Source organism: Homo sapiens, chromosome 18 (assembly GCF_000001405.40).
Source record: "Homo sapiens chromosome 18, GRCh38.p14 Primary Assembly".
NCBI classification, from domain to species: domain Eukaryota; kingdom Metazoa; phylum Chordata; class Mammalia; order Primates; family Hominidae; genus Homo; species Homo sapiens.
The window spans coordinates 13098830-13117528 of NC_000018.10; the positions used below are offsets into that span (position 1 = coordinate 13098830).

At 42.4% G+C, this 18699-nt stretch overlaps 1 protein-coding gene across 25 annotated transcripts in view; it reads left to right on the forward strand.

The window, feature by feature from the left end:
* CEP192 (centrosomal protein 192) overlaps positions 1–18699 on the forward strand; it is a 133675-nt gene that overhangs the window by 107468 nt on the left and 7508 nt on the right. For 12 of the 25 annotated variants that reach the window (XM_006722326.4, XM_005258107.4, XM_047437564.1 and 9 more), the window contains 7 exons: positions 647–752; positions 1476–1683; positions 4680–4759; positions 6155–6250; positions 14757–14876; positions 15301–15422; positions 17545–17674. In XM_006722326.4, the coding sequence (XP_006722389.1) occupies positions 647–752; positions 1476–1683; positions 4680–4759; positions 6155–6250; positions 14757–14876; positions 15301–15422; positions 17545–17674 (862 nt within the window). Of the gene's footprint in view, positions 1–646; positions 753–1475; positions 1684–4679; positions 4760–5045; positions 5451–6154; positions 6251–14756; positions 14877–15300; positions 15423–17544; positions 17675–18699 lie in introns of those variants that run through there. The other 13 variants (XM_047437562.1, NM_032142.4, XM_047437565.1 and 10 more) reach the window with 5 other exon arrangements.

Genomic DNA, 18699 nt, shown 5'->3' on the forward strand with positions numbered 1-18699 from the left:
GCTGGGAGGTGGAGGTTGTAGCGAGCCGAAATCACGCCACTGCACTCCAGCCTGGGCACCATTGAGCACTGAGTGAACGAGACTCCGTCTACAATCCCGGCACCTCGGGAGGCTGAGGCTGGCAGATCACTTGTGTTTAGGAGCTGGAGACCAGCCTGGCCAACACAGCGAAACCCCGTCTCCACCAAAAAAATACGAAAACCAGTCAGGCGTGGCAGCGCGCGCCTGCAATCGCAGGCACTCGGCAGGCTGAGGCAGGAGAATCAGGCAGGGAGGTTGCAGTGAGCCGAGATGGCAGCAGTACAGTCCAGCTTCGGCTCGGCATCAGAGGGAGACCATGGGGAGAGGGAGGGGGAGGGGGAGGGGGAGAGGGAGAGGGAGAGGGCGGCATGGTTTGTTTTCGCATGAGTTTTGCCCTTGCGTCATGGGTTCATGCTGGTGAGTTCCTTGTAACCCGTTGAGTCGGGTGGAGGCGGGATGAACTTGTGGGAGCCATGTGGGAGCCGCATGGGAGTGAGCTCTGTTCTCTGCTCTTCCTGAGCAGTGAGGAAATGGCCATTGGCTGGTAGACAGTATTTATAACTCCTGTGATTACTGCTGTTAAAATGCAGGCTCTTTTTAATTTTCTTATTAATTTTTTTTAAAGGAGTAAACTACAAATTCTTGTGAGTCCTAATTCCTCCTTATCCACAAAACAGTCAATGTTCCCGTGGAGTGGTTTGATCTATATACACTGTGACGATGGACAGAAGGTACTTTTAAAAGTGGTTTGGTTTTTTTTTTGAGTGACAATTCTGTTTGTAGCTTCAGTTTTATAATCCTTATTAGCACTTAATTTCAGAAATCAAATGAAAGCGTACTTGACCCTTCATATTTGTGGGTTCCACTTCCAGGGATTCAACCAACCACAGATTGAAATTATTTGGGGAAAAAGTAATACAAATAAATACAGTATAACAAATGTTTGCATAGCATTTACACTGCATTAGCTATTATAAGTACCTTAGAGATGATCTAAAGTGTATGGGAGGATGTATGTAGATATGTGCAAATACTGTGTCACTTTATATACAGGACTTGAGCATTGAGGATTTTAGCATCCTTAGGGGATCCTGGAACTAATCTCCCCCATGGATACCGAGGCATGATTATCTGTATTCTGAGGCCAACTAGTTAGAGCATTGGTATAGAATTTTTCCATAGTGATCAGAACAATTCTCTTGGGGAATGGGTGTGGAGAGTGGAGCCTAGAAGTGATTACTGATTTTCGAAATTTGCTTTAAAAACAAAGGTAATGGGAGAGAGGAGATAGAGTCACAGATTTACCTTGAGATCTAAATAAACTTTAATTCCTAAATTTATTGATGTTTTGTTTGTTTGGCATTTCTTTTCTCTACCATGGTTTAAAAATGGAATTGTTTCGTTTAAAGTGATAGATACGTTTGTAGCTTATCCCTTTATTTGGCTCATTTCAGAAAATTGTGAAAGTTCAAATTCGAGAAGATTTAACTCAAGTGGAACTTTTAACTCGTTTGACCTCCAAACCATTTGGAATTCTTTCCCCAGTATCTGAGCCTTCAGTTAGTCATTTGGTCAAACCAATGACAAAACCGCCTTCCACAAAAGTTGAAATAAGAAACAAGAGTATTACTTTTCCTACAACAGAACCTGGTGAAACTTCAGGTATTGTATCACAAAATTATGTAATTCAAATGTCTGCTGATATATTGAGTCTAATGCTTTATTCTTAGCCATAAGTTGGTGATAAATATAAATTTCCTCCTACTTCAGGAGAAAAGTGGTCATTAGCAGTCATTTCAATGATGGGCTGGATTTGGGATCTGAACAATCTTAAAATGTGAAATCTTGGCATTTACTAACTCTGTGTATTCCGGGAATCCTAGGTTTTATTTGATGGTCAGAACCTTTCCTGTGCAACTGTCACCAGATCTTGACCAGAATTGTTAATAAGTTAGCAGATGAAGAAGACAGGACAGTGGGTGGAGCCTGGCTTCATCACTTACTCACGTGACATTGAGGCTCCAGACAGGTCCAATAGACTTGCTCAGTTTCCCCATTTGTAAAATGGCCTTTGGAATGAACTTCTTCCACAGAGGGCTTCAAGGATAAATTTAGTAATTCCTGTATGGGCAGACCCTGACTTACGGTGGCTTGACTTACCATTTTTTGACCTGGTGATGGTGTGAAAGCCACGTGCATTCAGTGAAAATCGTATTTTGATTTTTGACCTTGCCCTGGGTAGCGAGCGACACAGGGTGCTGCACCCTCTTGTGATTCTGGGCGGCGGCAGCCCTGAGCCACAGCTTCTAGTCAGCCGCAATCACAAGGGTGAACAGCTGATACTGTATTCTGCAGTGCACTGTCTTCAGTAAATGACATGAGATATTCAACCCCTTGTTATAAAATGAACTTTGTGTTAGAGGATTTGCTCAACTGTGGGCTCAGGTAGGTGTTCTCAGCACTTTTAAGGCAGGCTCGGCTTAGGGTAGGTTAGGTGGATTAAATGCATTTTCCACTTAGGGTAATTTCAACTTAGGATGGGTTTACTGGGACGTGAGGAGCATTCGTGTTCAGTAATGGTGATATATGTACAGCAGTTAGCATGGTGTTTGTTGTCTATTAGGCACTCTGTATTGCTCACATTCCTCGAGAGTCCTGCGATCATTTATTTTTGTCCCTGTCTGTCTCCCTCACTGCTGGCTCAGGCTAAATGAGCAGTGTTGTCGGGGGACCTGTTAGAGAGGATATGGGTGCATCTCTCACCTGCCCTCTAGCTCCTTGCCTCTCCATTGATTTTGTCTATCCCCAGCCTCAGCCTCCTGCTTCCATGGTCTCCCTCCTGGACCTTGTTGTTCAGCCCTGAAGCTCCCCGCTCTGAGCCTGGCACTTGCTGACTGTCGCCCATCTCTTCAGCTCACCCACTGAGGGCTCACAGCAGTTCTCTGGCCTCCCTGAGACCCCCTGCCTGCTGGCACTGCCTGTTTTGTGCTCTCTCCCAGCCCGCCCATGCCCCTCTCCTCTTGTCACTTCTGGACTCCTGAGTCTGTCCTTATAGTTGCTGTTTCACAGGCTTCCATGACTGCCGGGTGTTCCTCTCCCTCTCTGTTCCTGCCTGGCAAGATCCCAACCCTGGCTTGTCCCAGGAGCCTAGCTCCTCCTGCCTCCACCCTTGCAGTGAAACCACACTGGAAGGAGCTACTCCACCCTTCTGGGGGTTCCTGGTGCCCCTCCACATGAGGCTTTGCTGCCTCTGCTCCTCTGTGTGTGTCCTGCAGCTCCTGCCACCCCCCACAGCTGGGGGCCCTTCTTTCCTCTGGGAGCTCCTGCCACCTCCCCTGCTCCTGCTGTCACTCTTCCTAACTCTTGACTTTGCCTTACACGTGAAAAATAGACAGGCCCTGAGACTCAGTGAAAGGCTTCTGTTTCCATCACAGATGAACCCTCTGCCTGGAACCAGGCCTGTCCATTCTCGCCTCTCGGGGGGCTTCCTGTGGTCCCCTCTCGCTCCAGAGCCATCAGCTTCTCCCTCCTTGTTGATTCGTCTCCACCAGCACCCAGTACACTCCACCATCACCAGGTTAAGAAGCATCTTCCTCGGCCCCCACACCCTTTCCTTGTGGCTACCCCTGTCTCAGCAGCCCCCTGCCCTCACTTCCTTAGGCCATGGCTGCTGTCACCTCATGCCCGGAACCCCGTCCTGTGAAGGTCACTTAAGAGCTCCATGTGCCAAATCCAGGGTCCGTTTTGTGTCTTGGTTGACTTGATCTCCCAGCACTGTCGACTGCTCTTCCACTTTGGAGGACTTCTCCGTGCAGCTGCTATGCGCCAGGGCTCAAGTTTTCCTGCCTCACCTGCTCCTGCTCGGATCCCTTGCTGACTCCTCTCCCTGGTTTCTAAAGACTGGCAGGGTCCCGGCCCAGCCTGCCTGTGCCTTTCCTTCTCTCTGTGTTCTCCTGCGCGATGATGGCCTGTAGCCTGTGACTCTCATGACTTCCCGTGTGCTCGGGCCCAGGCATCACACCCTGGCGCCTGCTTGGCTTCCACATGTGGGCATCTCATGGGCACATCAGATGTGATATGCCCAAGAGAGGCCCTACGCCTCCTCCAGGCTCAGCCTCATGTCAGTAAGTGGCACCACTATCTGTTCATTGGTTGTTATTTCTGATTTATCTTCTTCCTCCCTCCTGCCACTCTGTCCATCAGCAAGTCCTTTGAAGCCTGTCTTCAAAGTAGAGGCCACACATGCGCATGTCTTTTTCTCCCCTTTGCCACTGTCCAAGCTGGAGGCAGTCACCCTGTGCATCATCTCATAGCCAAACTGCTGCAGCCCTGACTTACCTGGGCTTCCTCGTCCCCTTCAATGCCTTGCAGTCTCTTTTTTACAGAGCAGTCTGTAACGCTTTAAAAATGTAAATCATCTTATTGCTCCTCTGCATAAGCCCTTCGGTATTTTTGCATTATACTTGTAATAAAACCTAAAAGAGAATATCTGACATACCTGATTTTTAAAGAAAATACTGTGGTTCTTGTTGAACTCCTTTAGGGATCTAATGATTGGGGTTTTTTAACCCCAGTATGAGGTAGTTAGGCCTGTCACAGTCATCTGCTTGTTCTCCAGTCTCTCCGAGTTTGAGTTATGATATATGTGTTCCTTTTAGAGAGCTGTCTAGAACTCGAGAATCATGGCACCACAGACGTGAAATGGCATCTGTCATCTTTAGCGCCACCTTATGTCAAGGTCAGTCATGACTGCCTCAGATATAATCGTTTTAATGTTTAGACTTTATCCAGGATGTTCTAAAAACTGACTATGAGCATAGGTTGATATTACTGGTTATTTGCTTGTTTGTTTTCTGAGACAAAAAAGTCTTGCTCTGTCGCCCAGGCTGGAGTGCAGTGGTATGAACACTGCTCACTGCAGCCTCAACCTCCCAGGCTCAAGCAATCCCCTGCCTTAGCCTCCCATGTGGCTGGGACCACAGGTGTGCACCACCATGTCCAGCTAACTTTTTGTTTTTTTGTAGAGATGGAGCCTCACCACACTGCCCAGGCTGGTCTCGATCTCCTGACCTCAAGCAATCTTCCCACCTCAGCCTCCCAAAGTGCTGGGATTACAGGTGTGAGCTGCTGCACCTGGCCTTGCTGGTTATTTGTTCCACCAATTCATTTAGTTGGTTTTCTCTTTAGATGAGGATGATATATGCCTAGTCTTTTTCACAAGGTGGTTTTGAGAATCAAATTAGAGAATATGTGTGGAAATACATGTTTGCTCCATTTAATGCTGTCTCCTAGCCCTGATTTTATCTGAAATAACTTTATTTTGAGAAATATGTAAAAATTGTATTTCTGAGCATTGTATGTGCACATGCATGGCTTTTCCCCTCATGTTCTGAGTGCTGTCATATGTTCCCAGCCAGCGGTGCAGGAAACGGAGCTGAGCGCTCTTTGCCAGTGAGTCTAGCCTACTATCTATGGCAGTAGTCTCCACCAGGGTACCACCTGAATTCAGTGGGTGTGTCATTGGTGGTGTTTAGAACACTGTGGTCTCTCTGCCATGTATTTTGTGTGATAGTAACAGTTTTGAGCCATAATACTACCAAAATGTGTACAAAAAAGAGTTTCTGGACCTACTGTGAAAAAATTAAAAACTACTTGGGAGGCTGAGGTGGGAGGATCGCTTGAGCCCAGGAGGTCGAGGCTGCAGTGAGCTATGATTACGCCACTGCACACCAGCCTAGGCAACAGAGTCAGACCCTGTCTTAAAAAAATAAATAGATAAAAATTAAAAACTGGTATTGCATAAGTTATTAAAATGCACATTCAACAGGGTCTTCAGAGTCTTTGAGGAAAAGATAGTTGTTTGACATTATGAGCCTCACTATAAAGATCACTATAGCCAGGGAAGTGATAAAAATCACCTTGTGTGACCTCTCCTTTGGTGATGTGAGTCAGCATGATGGCCTTCTGCAGAGCTCAGTCAGGTAGCACTCCCATTTTGGGAATACCTTGTGTTCTTTTTGTCCACTGCTAAGTGTGTTGGTGTGTTCTCCGCAGCCATAGAGGTAATAGTGTCTCTGTGGGATTTATCCATTGGCTTTATGGTTTTTAATTTGTTTAAATGATTGCTTTGCAGGGAGTTGATGAAAGTGGAGATGTTTTTAGAGCTACCTATGCAGCATTCAGATGTTCTCCTATTTCTGGTCTGCTGGAAAGCCATGGGATCCAAAAAGTAGGTTTTGATATTTTTTTCCATAGGAACATCATGTAAATTGTCCAGGAGTGCCTCATTGGATTCCACCCATTTAGCTTGTTTCACCTGGAGCAGTGCTACTCACAGAGCCAGTCTGCACACGAGAGAAGAGTCTGCCTCACTTACAATGCGCTGTAGCAGATAGTCTTAGTGTGAAAAAGTGGTCAGCTAAACAAAACAGCACACTTAGCAGTAAAGACCACAGACTGCCAGTGCTTACAGTCATACTGCACTGATGGAGACGAGAGTTTTGTCTATCAGCTGTAGCCAGAAAAACCTGCCATTACTCAAAAACAGCTCGGTATTTGTGGCATAGTCAACAGTATATCTTCATGGGTGACAGATCCCTCCAGCTACTATGACCCTCTTAAATGTTAATTCATTTCTATACCTGACATATTCCCTTCAAATGTCTCCTAATAACACTAATCACTCACTTGGCCTCAGCAATATACTTTTTCATTCTAATTGCCGAAACTTACTGGCTCATTTATTAGACATTCAGACTTAAAGTAAGTTATAGAATGTAGCTGTGAACTCAGAACTGACCGTAAAAGAATCTTGAAATAGCTGTAGCAGTTGTTGCAAACTGTGCACTTTACTGGGTCTGTATAACAGGCTTTCAGAGGGTTTCTCACTTTTTTTGGAAAGACACACAGTTCTACAAGTGTAGTTTAGTTCATTCCCCAAACCACAACAGAAGCAAAGCAGAAGAACAGGGGATAAGCACATTGCTCAAATAAAGTTCAGTGTATGAGGCGGTATTGCAAAAAGAAGCCCAACAAGAAAGACATCCCATGTCAATTGATCAGAAGACTTAACCTTGTTAAGTCCCTAAATTGATCTACATATTCAGCACAGTCCCAATCAAAACCCCAGCTGGGCCCAAAGCAGTCTACAGTTAATGCTGTTCCTATCAAACTGCCAACGTCATTTTTCACAAAACTGGAAACAACTATGCTAAAATTCATATGAAGCTAAAAAACAGCCTGAATAACAAAAGCAATCCTAAGCAAAAAGAACAAATCTGGAGGCATCATGCTACCTGACTTTATACTATAGAATAATTACCTCTGCTCATATTTTTCCCACACCTCAACCAAATATATACAACTATGATCCCCCATTACTACTACCACTCATCACTACCATCACCGTCTCCCACACAACCTTCAACTACAACACCCCACACAACTACCACCACCACTACCACTCCCACTCACAACTACCATCATCTTCTGCACAATGTTCAGTGACAGCCACACCCCACACAGCTACCACCACCATCACCACCACTACTACCACTCACCACTGCCATCACCATTTCCCACACAACCCTCAATTACAACCACACCCCACAGAACTACCACCACCACTACCACTACTCACCACTGCCATCACCATTTCCTACCACCACCACCACCACCACCACCACCTCCCCCATCTCCCACACAACCCTCAATAACAACCACACCCCACACAGCTACCACCACCACCACTACCACTCACCACTGCTGTCACCATTTCCCACACAACCCTCAACTACAACCATACCCCACACAGGTACCACCACCACCGCCACCACTCCCACTTACAACTACGGTCATCTTCTGCACAATGTTCAATTACAACCACACCCCACACAGCTACCACCACCACCACCACCACTGACAACTACCATCATCATCTCCCACACAACCCTCAACTACAACCACACCCCACAAATTTTAGGGATCATATTGTATGATTGACTACGTTGCTTAAATATGACAAGATGTAGTTTAAAAACAGCTTATTATAAAACATCCACTGTAGCCAAAATTATCTGGGTTTCCTTTTCTTTGGATCTTTTCTGTCTGTCACTGAGAAAAATACACCAGCAAGACACAAGAAACTGTAATACTACTCCGATTAACAGTAATATTACCTACTGTATTATTAATGCAGTGTCTGCCATGTAACAGATGTTATGTGTGTGTGTGTGTACATATATAGATTTAATCTTCATAAAGGTACACATTCCCATTTTACAGGTAGTAAGGCTTAAACTAAGCGAGCATTTTGCCAAAGGTCATACAATCAGGTAGCAAAGTTGGATTTAAAATTAATTCCAGAGTTGGGTGCTGTGGCGCATGACTCTAGTCTTAGCTACTCAAGAGGCTGAGTCAGGAGGAACACTTAAGGTCAGGAGTTTGAGCCAGGCTGAGCAATACAGTGAGACCTTGTCTCAAAAAAATTTTTTTAATAAAATAAATAAGCAAATTCCTGTATTCAGTTTTCACAATCTCTCTAACATAGTCAAATCCACAACCTCATACTAAAGAATGTTTTTGGAAAGCACTTGATGTCCCTCTCTGGGCTGACAGTCTACTGACTGTCTAAATGAGACTCAGAAATCTGAAAGCTTGGTTTTCATTAGCTCCAAACTATCAGTTCCTAAAAAGGCTTAGAGGACATGGAAGACAAAAGTGGCTATCCTTTGCTAGGAATTATCAGAATAAGTACCTAAATTAATCTCTCCAGGATTTTTTGTTTTCTCTTCAGCATATGCCCAAGGTATGTATGATGTGAGCAGCCTGAAGCTATTCTGAATGACAAGGACTAGTTTTAGGTAACCTCCAATTGAATTGTTTTTATTTTTCCTATGGAGATCCAGAGACGTTTGTTTTCAAATGGAGCAAACAGCACTGTGATACTGACTTTGTTTATTAAAAAATAATTGTTTCCAAATTAATTTCAACTCATAATGAGTTAAAGCGATTAGAAATAAAGATAGTATCTCCAAAAAAAAAAAAAAAATACTATAAGGCTACAGTAACCATAACAGCATGGTAGCAAAACAAAAACAGACATATAAACCAATGGAACAGAATAGAGAACCCAGAAATAAAGCCACAAACCTACAGCCATCTGATCTTCAACAAAGTCAACAAAAATAAGCAATGGGGAAAGGACTCCTTATTCAATAAGTAGTACTGGAATAGCTGGCTAACCATATGGAGAGGAATGAAACTGGACCCCTGCCTTTCACCATGTATAAAAATTAACTCAAGGTGGATTAAATATTTGAACATAAGACCTCAAACTATAAGAATCCTAGAGGGAAACTTAGGAAACACCATTTTGGACATTATTCTTGGGAAAGAATGTATGACTAAATTCTCCAAAGCAATTGTAATAAAAAAACACAAAAATTGACAAATGGGACCTAATTAAACTAAAGAGCTTCTGCACAGCAAAGGAAACTATCAACAGAGTAAACAGACAACCTACAAAAGAGGAGAAAACATTCACAAACTATTCATCTGACAAAAGTCTAATACCCAGGATCTATAAGGAACTTAAAACAATTGAACAAGCCCAAAACAAACCACCCCATTAAAAATGAGCAAAAGACATGAACAGACACTTCTCAGAAGAAGACATACAAGCAGCCAACAAACCTGAAAAAATGCTCCACATCATTAATCATCAAGAAATGCAAATCAAAACCGCAATGAGATACCATCTCACAGCAGTCAGAATGGCTGTTATTAAAAAGTCAGCAGCCTGGGCAACATGGCGAAACTCTGTCTCTACAAAAAATACAGAAATTAGCTGGGCATGGTGACAAAAAATACAGAAATTAGCTGGGCATGGTGGCACGCACCTGTAGTTCTACCTACTTGGGAGGCTGAGGTGGAAGGATCACGTGAACCCAGGAGGCAGAAGTTGTAGTGAGCTGAGATTGTGCCACTGCACTCCAGCCTGTGTGACAGGGTGAGACACTGTCTCCAAAAAAATAAAACAAAAAGTCAAAAAACAATAGATGCTAGCAAGGCTGCAGAGAAAAAATGCTTATACACTTAGTGTGAATGTAAATTAGTTCAGCCACCATGGAGACCAGTTTGGAGATTTCTCAAAGAACTTAGAGCTACTATTCAACCCAGCAGTCCCACTACTGGATATATACCCAAAAGACAGCAGATTGTTCTACTAAAAAGATACATGCACTTGCACATTCATCACAGCACTATTCACAGTATCAGAGACATGGATCAATCCACCGTTGATCACCGGTGGATTGGATGAAGAAATGGTGGATTGGTACATGTATATCATGGAATACTGTGCAGCCGTAGAATCAAATCATGACCTTTGTAGCAACATGGATACAGCTGAAGGCGATTATCCTAAATGAATTAACATGGGAATAGAAAACCAAATACCACATTTTCTCACTTATAAGTTGGAGCTAAATATTGGGTACTCATGGATATAAAGATGACAGCAATAGAAACTGGGGACTACTGGAAGTGGGAAAAGGGCTGAAAAATTAACTATTGGGTACTATGCTCAGTACCTGGGTGATGGGATCATTCATACCTCAAACCTGAGCATCGTGCAGTATACCCAGGTAACAAACCTGCGCATGTACCCCCTGAATCTAAAATAAAAGTTGAAAAAGGAAAACGGAACAACAATAAGCCCATTTTCCATAGTGGTAAAGATACAGGTGTCATACATCTATTTTAAAAAGAAAAAAAATTGAAATTAATGAGCTAAGCAGTCATTTGAAGAATGGTGAAAATAATAAATCCAAAGAAAGAAGAAAAAAAAGTTCTAAAGCAAAACATAGTAAAATTAAAGAAATGAGAGAAGATTAACATCTCCAAAGCTGCTTTTTTGGAAAAAATAATAATAATAGACAAACCTTTGGCAAAATTGACCAAGGCAGGAAAGAGACAATTTTACACGAAAAGCATTTGTCAAGTGAGAATCTAGCAGAATGAGATTAGTTAAAAATTCAAAAAAACTTTAAAAGAATTAAAGGTAAATAAATGTGTTGCAAAAAGAATGACTTAAGTATCAAAGACTTCTAAAATGCCTCTTTCATGAACCCCTCGAATATGTTTTCCAAAATGGTCTTTATGGGTTGTCCTGAGAATTTATACACCTTATACCATTGTATAACTTTGTCCCCTGCCCTGCAAAAAAATTGCACCAAAATCTAAGCCCACTTTATTCTTTGTTCATTCTAAGATTTAGTGCACAGTTGTAATTAAAATCTAAATTTCGTTAAATAAAACAGAAAAACTAATTTAGAAATAAATCCAGCTGGGTTTTGTTTTAAAATTGAAAGGCTGATTCTGAAATTTATATAGATATACAAGAGACCTAGAATAATCAAACGATCTTGAAATAGAACAAAATTGGAGGATTCACACTCCCTGCTTTCAAAGCCTACTACAAAGCCACATTACACAAAACAGTGTGGTATTGACAGTTCCACAGAACTATGGAATAGGATTGAGAGTCCCAAAATAAACCCTAATATTTATAATCAATTGATTTTTTTTTTTTTTAATAAGGGCACCAAGACAGTTCAATGGGGAAAGAATATTTTTCAACAAATAGTGCCTGGGAGAACTGGATAGCCACATGCAAAAGAATTAGGGTAGACCCTTACTGTATTAGGGTTCTCCAGAGGGACAGAACTAATAGGATATATGTATATATGAAAGGGAGGTTATTAGGGAGAATTGACTCACATTATTAACAAGGCAAAGTCACACGATAGGCCATCTGCAGGCTGGGGAAGAAAGAAGCCAGTAGCAGCTGAGTCTGAGTCTAAAAGCCTCAAAAGAAGGAAGCCAACAGTGCAGCCTTCAGTCTGTGGCCAAACTGACTATCAGAGGGCCCCTGGCCAAACACTTATGTAAATCCCAGAGTGCAAAGGCTGAAGAACTTGGAGTCTGATTTCCAAGGGCAGGAGGAACGGAAGGAAGCATCCAGCACGGGATAAAAATGAAAGCCAAGAGACTCAGCAAGCAAGGTTATCCCACCTTCTTCCACCTGCCTCTTCTAGCCTGCTGGCAGCTGATTGGATGTGCTCACCCACATTAGGGTGGGCCTTCCTCTCCCAGTTCACAGACTCAAATGTCAGTCTCCTCTGGCAACACCCTCATAGACACACCCAGAAACAATACTGAGCAGCCATCTAGGCCTCCTTTGATCCAATTGAGTTGACACCTAATATTTGTGGGGTTTTGTTGTTGTTTTGAGATGGAGTCTTACTCTGTTGCCCAGGCTGGAGTGCAGTGGTTCAATCTCGTCTCACTGCAACCTCTGCCTCCTGGGTTCAAGTGATTCTCCTGTCTCAGCCTCCCGAGTAGCTGGGACTACAGGTGCCCACCACCACGCCTGGCTAATTTTTTGTATTTTTAGTAGAGATGGGGGTTTCACCATGTTAGCCAGGATGGTCTCGATCTCCTGACCTTGTGATCCACCTGCCTTGGCCTCCCAAAGTGCTGGGATTGCAGGCGTGAGCCACCGTGCCCGGCCTGAGTTGACACCTAATATTAACCATCACACTTACCTAGTACCATATACAGAGATTCACCGAAAATCAACCATAGACCATAAACATTAGACCTAAAGCTATAAAACCTCTAAAAGACAACATAGGAATAAATCTTCATGACCTTAGGTTAAGCATTGGTTTCTTAGATTTGACACCAGTAAAGCACAAGCCACAAAAGAGAAAATAGGTGAATTATCAAAATCAAAAAGATCTGTGCTTCAAACAACACCATCAAGACAATGAAAGACAGAGAATAGGGACAAAAATTTGCAAATGATGTATTTGACAAAGGACTTGTATCCAGAATACGTAAAGAACTCTTACAACCCAGTAAAAAGAAATGGCCCAATTTTTTAAGTGAGCAGAGGATTTGAATAGACATTTTCCCAAAGAAAACATACAAGTGGTCAATAAACATGTGAGAAGATGCTTAGAATTCCTAGTCATTAGCAAAATGCAATCAAAACGAGAAATGAAGTATCACTTAATACCCACTAAGATGGCTGTGAGTTTTAAAAAAACAGAAAATAACAGGTGTTGGTGAGGATGTGGGGAAATTGGAACCCTGATGCATTGCTGGAGGGTATGTGAAATGGTACAGCCGCTATGGAAAATAATTTGGCAGTTTCTCAATAAGCCAAACATAGAATTACTGCATGACCCAGCAGTTCCACTTCTGGATATACACTAGAAAAGTTGAAGCAGATTTTCAAACAAAAACTTGTTCACAAGTGTTCACAGCAGTGTTATTCACAATAGACAAAAAAGTGGGAATCACCCAAATGTCTGATGGGTCGATAAACAAAATCTGGTATATCTGTAAAATGAAATATTATTTGGCAGTGAAAAGGAATGGAGTTACTGCTACATGCTATATCCAGATGGGTGAACCTTGAAAACATTATGCTAAGTGAAAGAAGCCAGTCACAGAAGCCCACAGATGTGTGATTCTATCTATGTGAAATGTCTAGGACAGGCAGATCTATAGAGAGAAAGTAGAGCCTGCTTTCCAGGGGATTAGCTGAGATACTGAATGTTAAAGTTCCCAGTATGTGCCTAGGGTGTAACATGCAGTAATACTAGTTTTCCCCTCCTGTGTTATGTTGTGTTTTTGGTATTTGAAGGGGTATAGTTAGGATTTTATAGTCCCGTAGTCCCCAGTGGTGGTTTTTACCCATTCCTTTGTTTTTCACCCTTTCCTTCCTTCATCTTCTTAGTGTCCAAGCCCCTGGTGGTGTAATTCTCTAGTCAGATGCTCTCCTCTCCCTGACCAGTCCTGCTTTTGCCTCCAGGCTCTCAAAAGCCTTGAGCTCAGGCTGGCTGGGTTATTATGTTTAAGGTTCTGCGTGGGCAGAAATTAGGCCACCTATGTGTTTTAATGTTTAAGTCCAGACTCAGGAATACTGATTTGTTGTTAACCTGATTCATTGTTAACTGATTCATTGTTAAGTGATCAGTATTATCAACACTAAATTATTTGATAAAGCTAAGGCTCTTAATATTGGTAATTGTTATAAAATGCTGTTTTTAAACATTACAGTTTTCTCATGATTGAGCTTTTTACAGGTTGTACACATGCAGGGTGTTTATCACTGAGCTATGTGCCCAGGGTCACTGGCTGACTGACATTTGGAAGCTAATCATAATGCGAGCTGCCACTGTGGAGCGTCTGGCGCTTGTCTTGTTCTGCCTCCTGTAGCCGCCGCCCCCCTCACTGTTGTCAGTCCTCTACAGCTCCTGGCCGCTGTGAGGCCCTTGTCCTGGTACTGCTTGGCCAGCAGAGGGTTCCATAAGCACACAAGGGAAGACAATTGCGGGTCTGTGGTTGGACCTTCCTCGTGTAGGTGTTGTGCTTCACAGCTTTAGTGCTTTCTGATAACATTTCCCCCCACAGTAAAGCATTTATTGTACATTTTAAGAAATATGTTATATAAAGCCTTAAGCAAAAATGTGTTTTGGATCTGGTATAGTAACCCGCTAGAAATGAAATTGTCCAAATTCTTTCAATTAATGGCAAAACTAGCCAGTGCAAAAGCATTTGTTCCTTTAATTTTTTTCATACCAAATCTTTGAACTGGTGATCTAGCTAACACTGTGTTTAATGATCAGTGTCTAAATTTCTCTTCTGTATGTATTTCGTAGGTCTCCATCACATTTTTGCCCAGAGGTAGGGGGGATTATGCCCAGTTTTGGGATGTTGAATGTCACCCTCTTAAGGAGCCTCACATGAAACACACGTTGAGATTCCAACTCTCTGGACAAGTGAGTAGTACACTGAATTTAAGTAAATTATTGTATGTATTTTAAAAACAGAAAGGGAAATTAATAAGAAAAGTTGGCCTGAAAATGCAGAATATAGCCCCATAATCTTAATTTTCTTGTTTGTCTTTATTAATTGGCATGTTTGAGGACTGGATTTGGCTGTATTGTTCATACAGCCCATGAAACCCATGTTTGACTTAGTTATATAAGAAACTCTGTGCGTGTGCATCATGTATGCACATGGGCACATGAGAGAGAGGAACCAGGCAGGACAGAGTACAGAGCTTGCAATTTAGGGGATTTAAAAATCTTAAATTGCCTTTTAAAAATTTTTAAAGGAAATGATAGAATTCAAATAAGTAAATGTCCATATATTTTCTTAGTTTTTATTTCTTCTCCGTTACCCTGTGATTTTTCTGTATAGAGCATCGAAGCAGAAAATGAGCCTGAAAACGCATGCCTTTCCACGGATTCCCTCATTAAAATAGATCATTTAGTTAAGCCCCGAAGACAAGCTGTGTCAGAGGCTTCTGCTCGCATACCTGAGTATGTTGTTTTTGTCATTCTTATGAGTTTTTTCCCAGTACTTTATTGAGGAATAGAGTCAGTAAAATGCTCGATGACTTTACCTGAGTTCACATGTGTTACCAGCACTCCAACCAAGATACAGAATATTCCTCTCGCCCAGAAAGTTCTTACGTGTCCCTTTGCAGTCAAGATTTGTCCTGTTCTGATTTCTGTCATCATAGATTCATTTTGCTTGAACTTCATATATATACATATGTATGTATATATTCTTTGTGTCTGGCTTCTTTTTCTCAACATACTATTTTTAAAAATCCATTCATGTTATTGAATGTACCTATAGTTCATTCCTTTTTATTGTTTAGTATTCCATTAAATGAACGTATCACAGTTTATTCATTTTCCTGTTGACTTTTGGATGTCTTATAATTTGGAATGATTATTAATTAAGGTGCTATGAATATTACTGTATGTGCATTTCTAAAGATGACATACATTTTCGTTACTTTTTAGTAAAAATACCTACTTTTACCCACAATTGCGAGGTCACATGATAACCATGTGTTGAACTTTAAAATAAACTGCCAAATAGTTTTCCCTAAATAGTTGTACCATTTTATGTTCCCATAAGCAGCATATGAAAGTAGATTCTTAAAAAGCTTTAAAATGTAAAACTTATACCAGCCGCATATATAGCTTTAATGAGAATATTATTTAGTATTCTACCTTATGAAAATATTTCTTATAATCCTTAATTAACTAGTAATTAGGTCTAATTAAGTTCTTGAGGAGGATGCCTGGAAGGACAATATATGTTAAATATCTGCTGAATTTAATATAAATTTAGTCATTTATTTTTTAATGGGAGCCAATAATGCATTTGGAAGAAATTAGAGCCCTTTAATGAATGCATGTTCTTGGCACACTCCCTCCAGGCTGTTATCCCTTGCTTCTCTCTTGCTCTCTGAGCCCCGCGCCTCCACAGCTCCCTTCTGGAGACACAGCCTCGCCAACCCAGAGCCCACACGGGCTGCGGGGAAACAAACGAGAAACTGGGAGAAGTGACAGAGGCAGCTTGGTCTGTGAAACCTGGGAAGGAGTTCCCTGAAAGGGGACATTTAAGTTGAGGAGGATGAGTGGAAACGGCCTAGGTGAGGAGGGTCGGAGAAGTTCCCAGGAGAAGTTCAGTGTGAAAGGGGAGTGGTGGGGGGCAAGGCCAGAGCTGGGCCTAGGAGGTGTTTGCTTTTCTGGAGAGCTGGGAAGCCAGGGAGTGACATGATCAGGTATGCGTGTGTAGGACAATCCCCTAGCTGTGGTATGACTGATAAGAAGGAGGTGAGGAGGGGCTATTTTAAAGGAGTCCAGGAGTAAAATAGTGTCAAGGAATAGGAAGAGAACAGGCAGACTGGAGATAGGAGGGCCTCTGCAATGGACTGGATAAAGGGGATGGCTGTGAGAGGGTCGGCTCCCAGATACCATTCAGCAAACACAAGTGGAGGATCAGGTTTGAGGACAAAAATCACAAGTTCATTTTTGTATTTGTGGAGACTGAAGGTGTTTGAGCTATCCTGAGGGACCATTGTGTAGTGACTGAATAGATAGGGCTGCTGGGGGGTGCCGAGCTAGGTGTGAGGGGAAGGTCAGATGTGCAGAGAGTTGGGGGTGGAGGGGAGCCTGCAGAGACCCGGGAGTGGCCGGAGAAAGGGGAGGCAGCTGTGCAGGGTTTGGGAAGCCCAGGCAAGAGCCAGTGCCACCACCAGCAAACATTGCCTGGAGGCCACACCTGCATCAGGCACTTGGAGCAGCCTGTGTCCCTGTGATAGTGAAGTACAGTCGGTACTGCAGCGTGACGGGGCCAAGCGAAATGAACTGAGGTAAAGGGCCACCTTCATACAAACTGGGCTTCTGGCAGGTAGAGACCCAGGCTGTGAGGAGAGTGAGGCCTATCCAGCACCCTTTATGAGAGGATTCCTGCTGTCATCCTCTTCACATAAATTAGATAAGTCGTCATTACAAAACTTATATTTGAAAATAAATCACCAGGAAAACATAAATTAATGCAATACTACATAATTTTAATATATAAAAACAGTTTAAGTTACTGTGGATTTCAGATTCTTAACTTTTACACCTATTCCCAAAGCAGGCAGCTTGATGTGACTGCTCGTGGAGTTTATGCCCCAGAGGATGTGTACAGGTTCCGGCCGACTAGTGTGGGGGAATCACGGACACTTAAAGTCAATCTGCGAAATAATTCTTTTATTACACACTCAGTAAGTTGGAAATATTACTATGGGTTTTGGAAAAATACATGCATTCAACTCTGATAACAAACATTTTCCTGATGATTCTGTAGACTATATTTAAGTTGTAAGAATGAGGTAATTTTTCTTTTTTTGGAGATGGAGTCTCGCTGTCGCCCAGGCTGAAGTGCAGTGGTGCGATCTCGGCTCACTGCAAGCTCCACCTCCCGGGTTCATGCCATTCTCCTGCCTCAGCCTCCTGAGTAGCTGGGACTACAGGTGCCCGCCACCACGCCTGGCTAATTTTTTGTATTTTTAGTAGAGACGGGGTTTCACCGTGTTAGCCAGGATAGTCTTGATTTCCTGACCTCATGATCTGCCTGCCTCGGCCTCCCAAAGTGCTGGGATTACAGGCGTGTGCCACCACGCCCGGCCATAATGAAGTAATTTTTAAAAATGCAATATAAGGCCAGGTGCAGTGACTCACACCTGTAATTCAGGACTTTGGGAGGCCAAGGCAGGAGGATTGTTTGAGCCCAGGAGTTTGAGACCAACCTGGGCAATATAGTGAGACTCCATCTCTACCAAAAAAAAAAAAAAATTAACCGGGCATGGTGGCAGGTACCTGTAGTTCCAGCTACTTGTGGGGGCTGAGCTGAGAGGATCGCTTTAGGCTGGGAGGTTGAGGCTGCAGTGAGCCATGATTGTGCCACTGCACTTCAGCCAGGGTGACAGAGCAAGACCCTGCCCCCATCCGCCCAGAAATTCCTTAGTATTTTATTTGAACATAAACTCACTGGAAGTTTATAACCCTTTACTTGAAAATCAAAAATTTGTTTTATATTTTAATTTTTAACTTTTTCTTTTTCTTCTGTACTATTATACACACATATTTCTGGACAACCTTTACTTTAGTTAAAACTAGATTAAATTCATGTTAAAATTTTCTTAAATATGTTTTCATTACATTAGCATTTATTGTACTACCTAATTTTGTGGCAATACCTAAATTTACAAAATGTATCTGTAATAAATAAATGCTTGGTATGCTTATA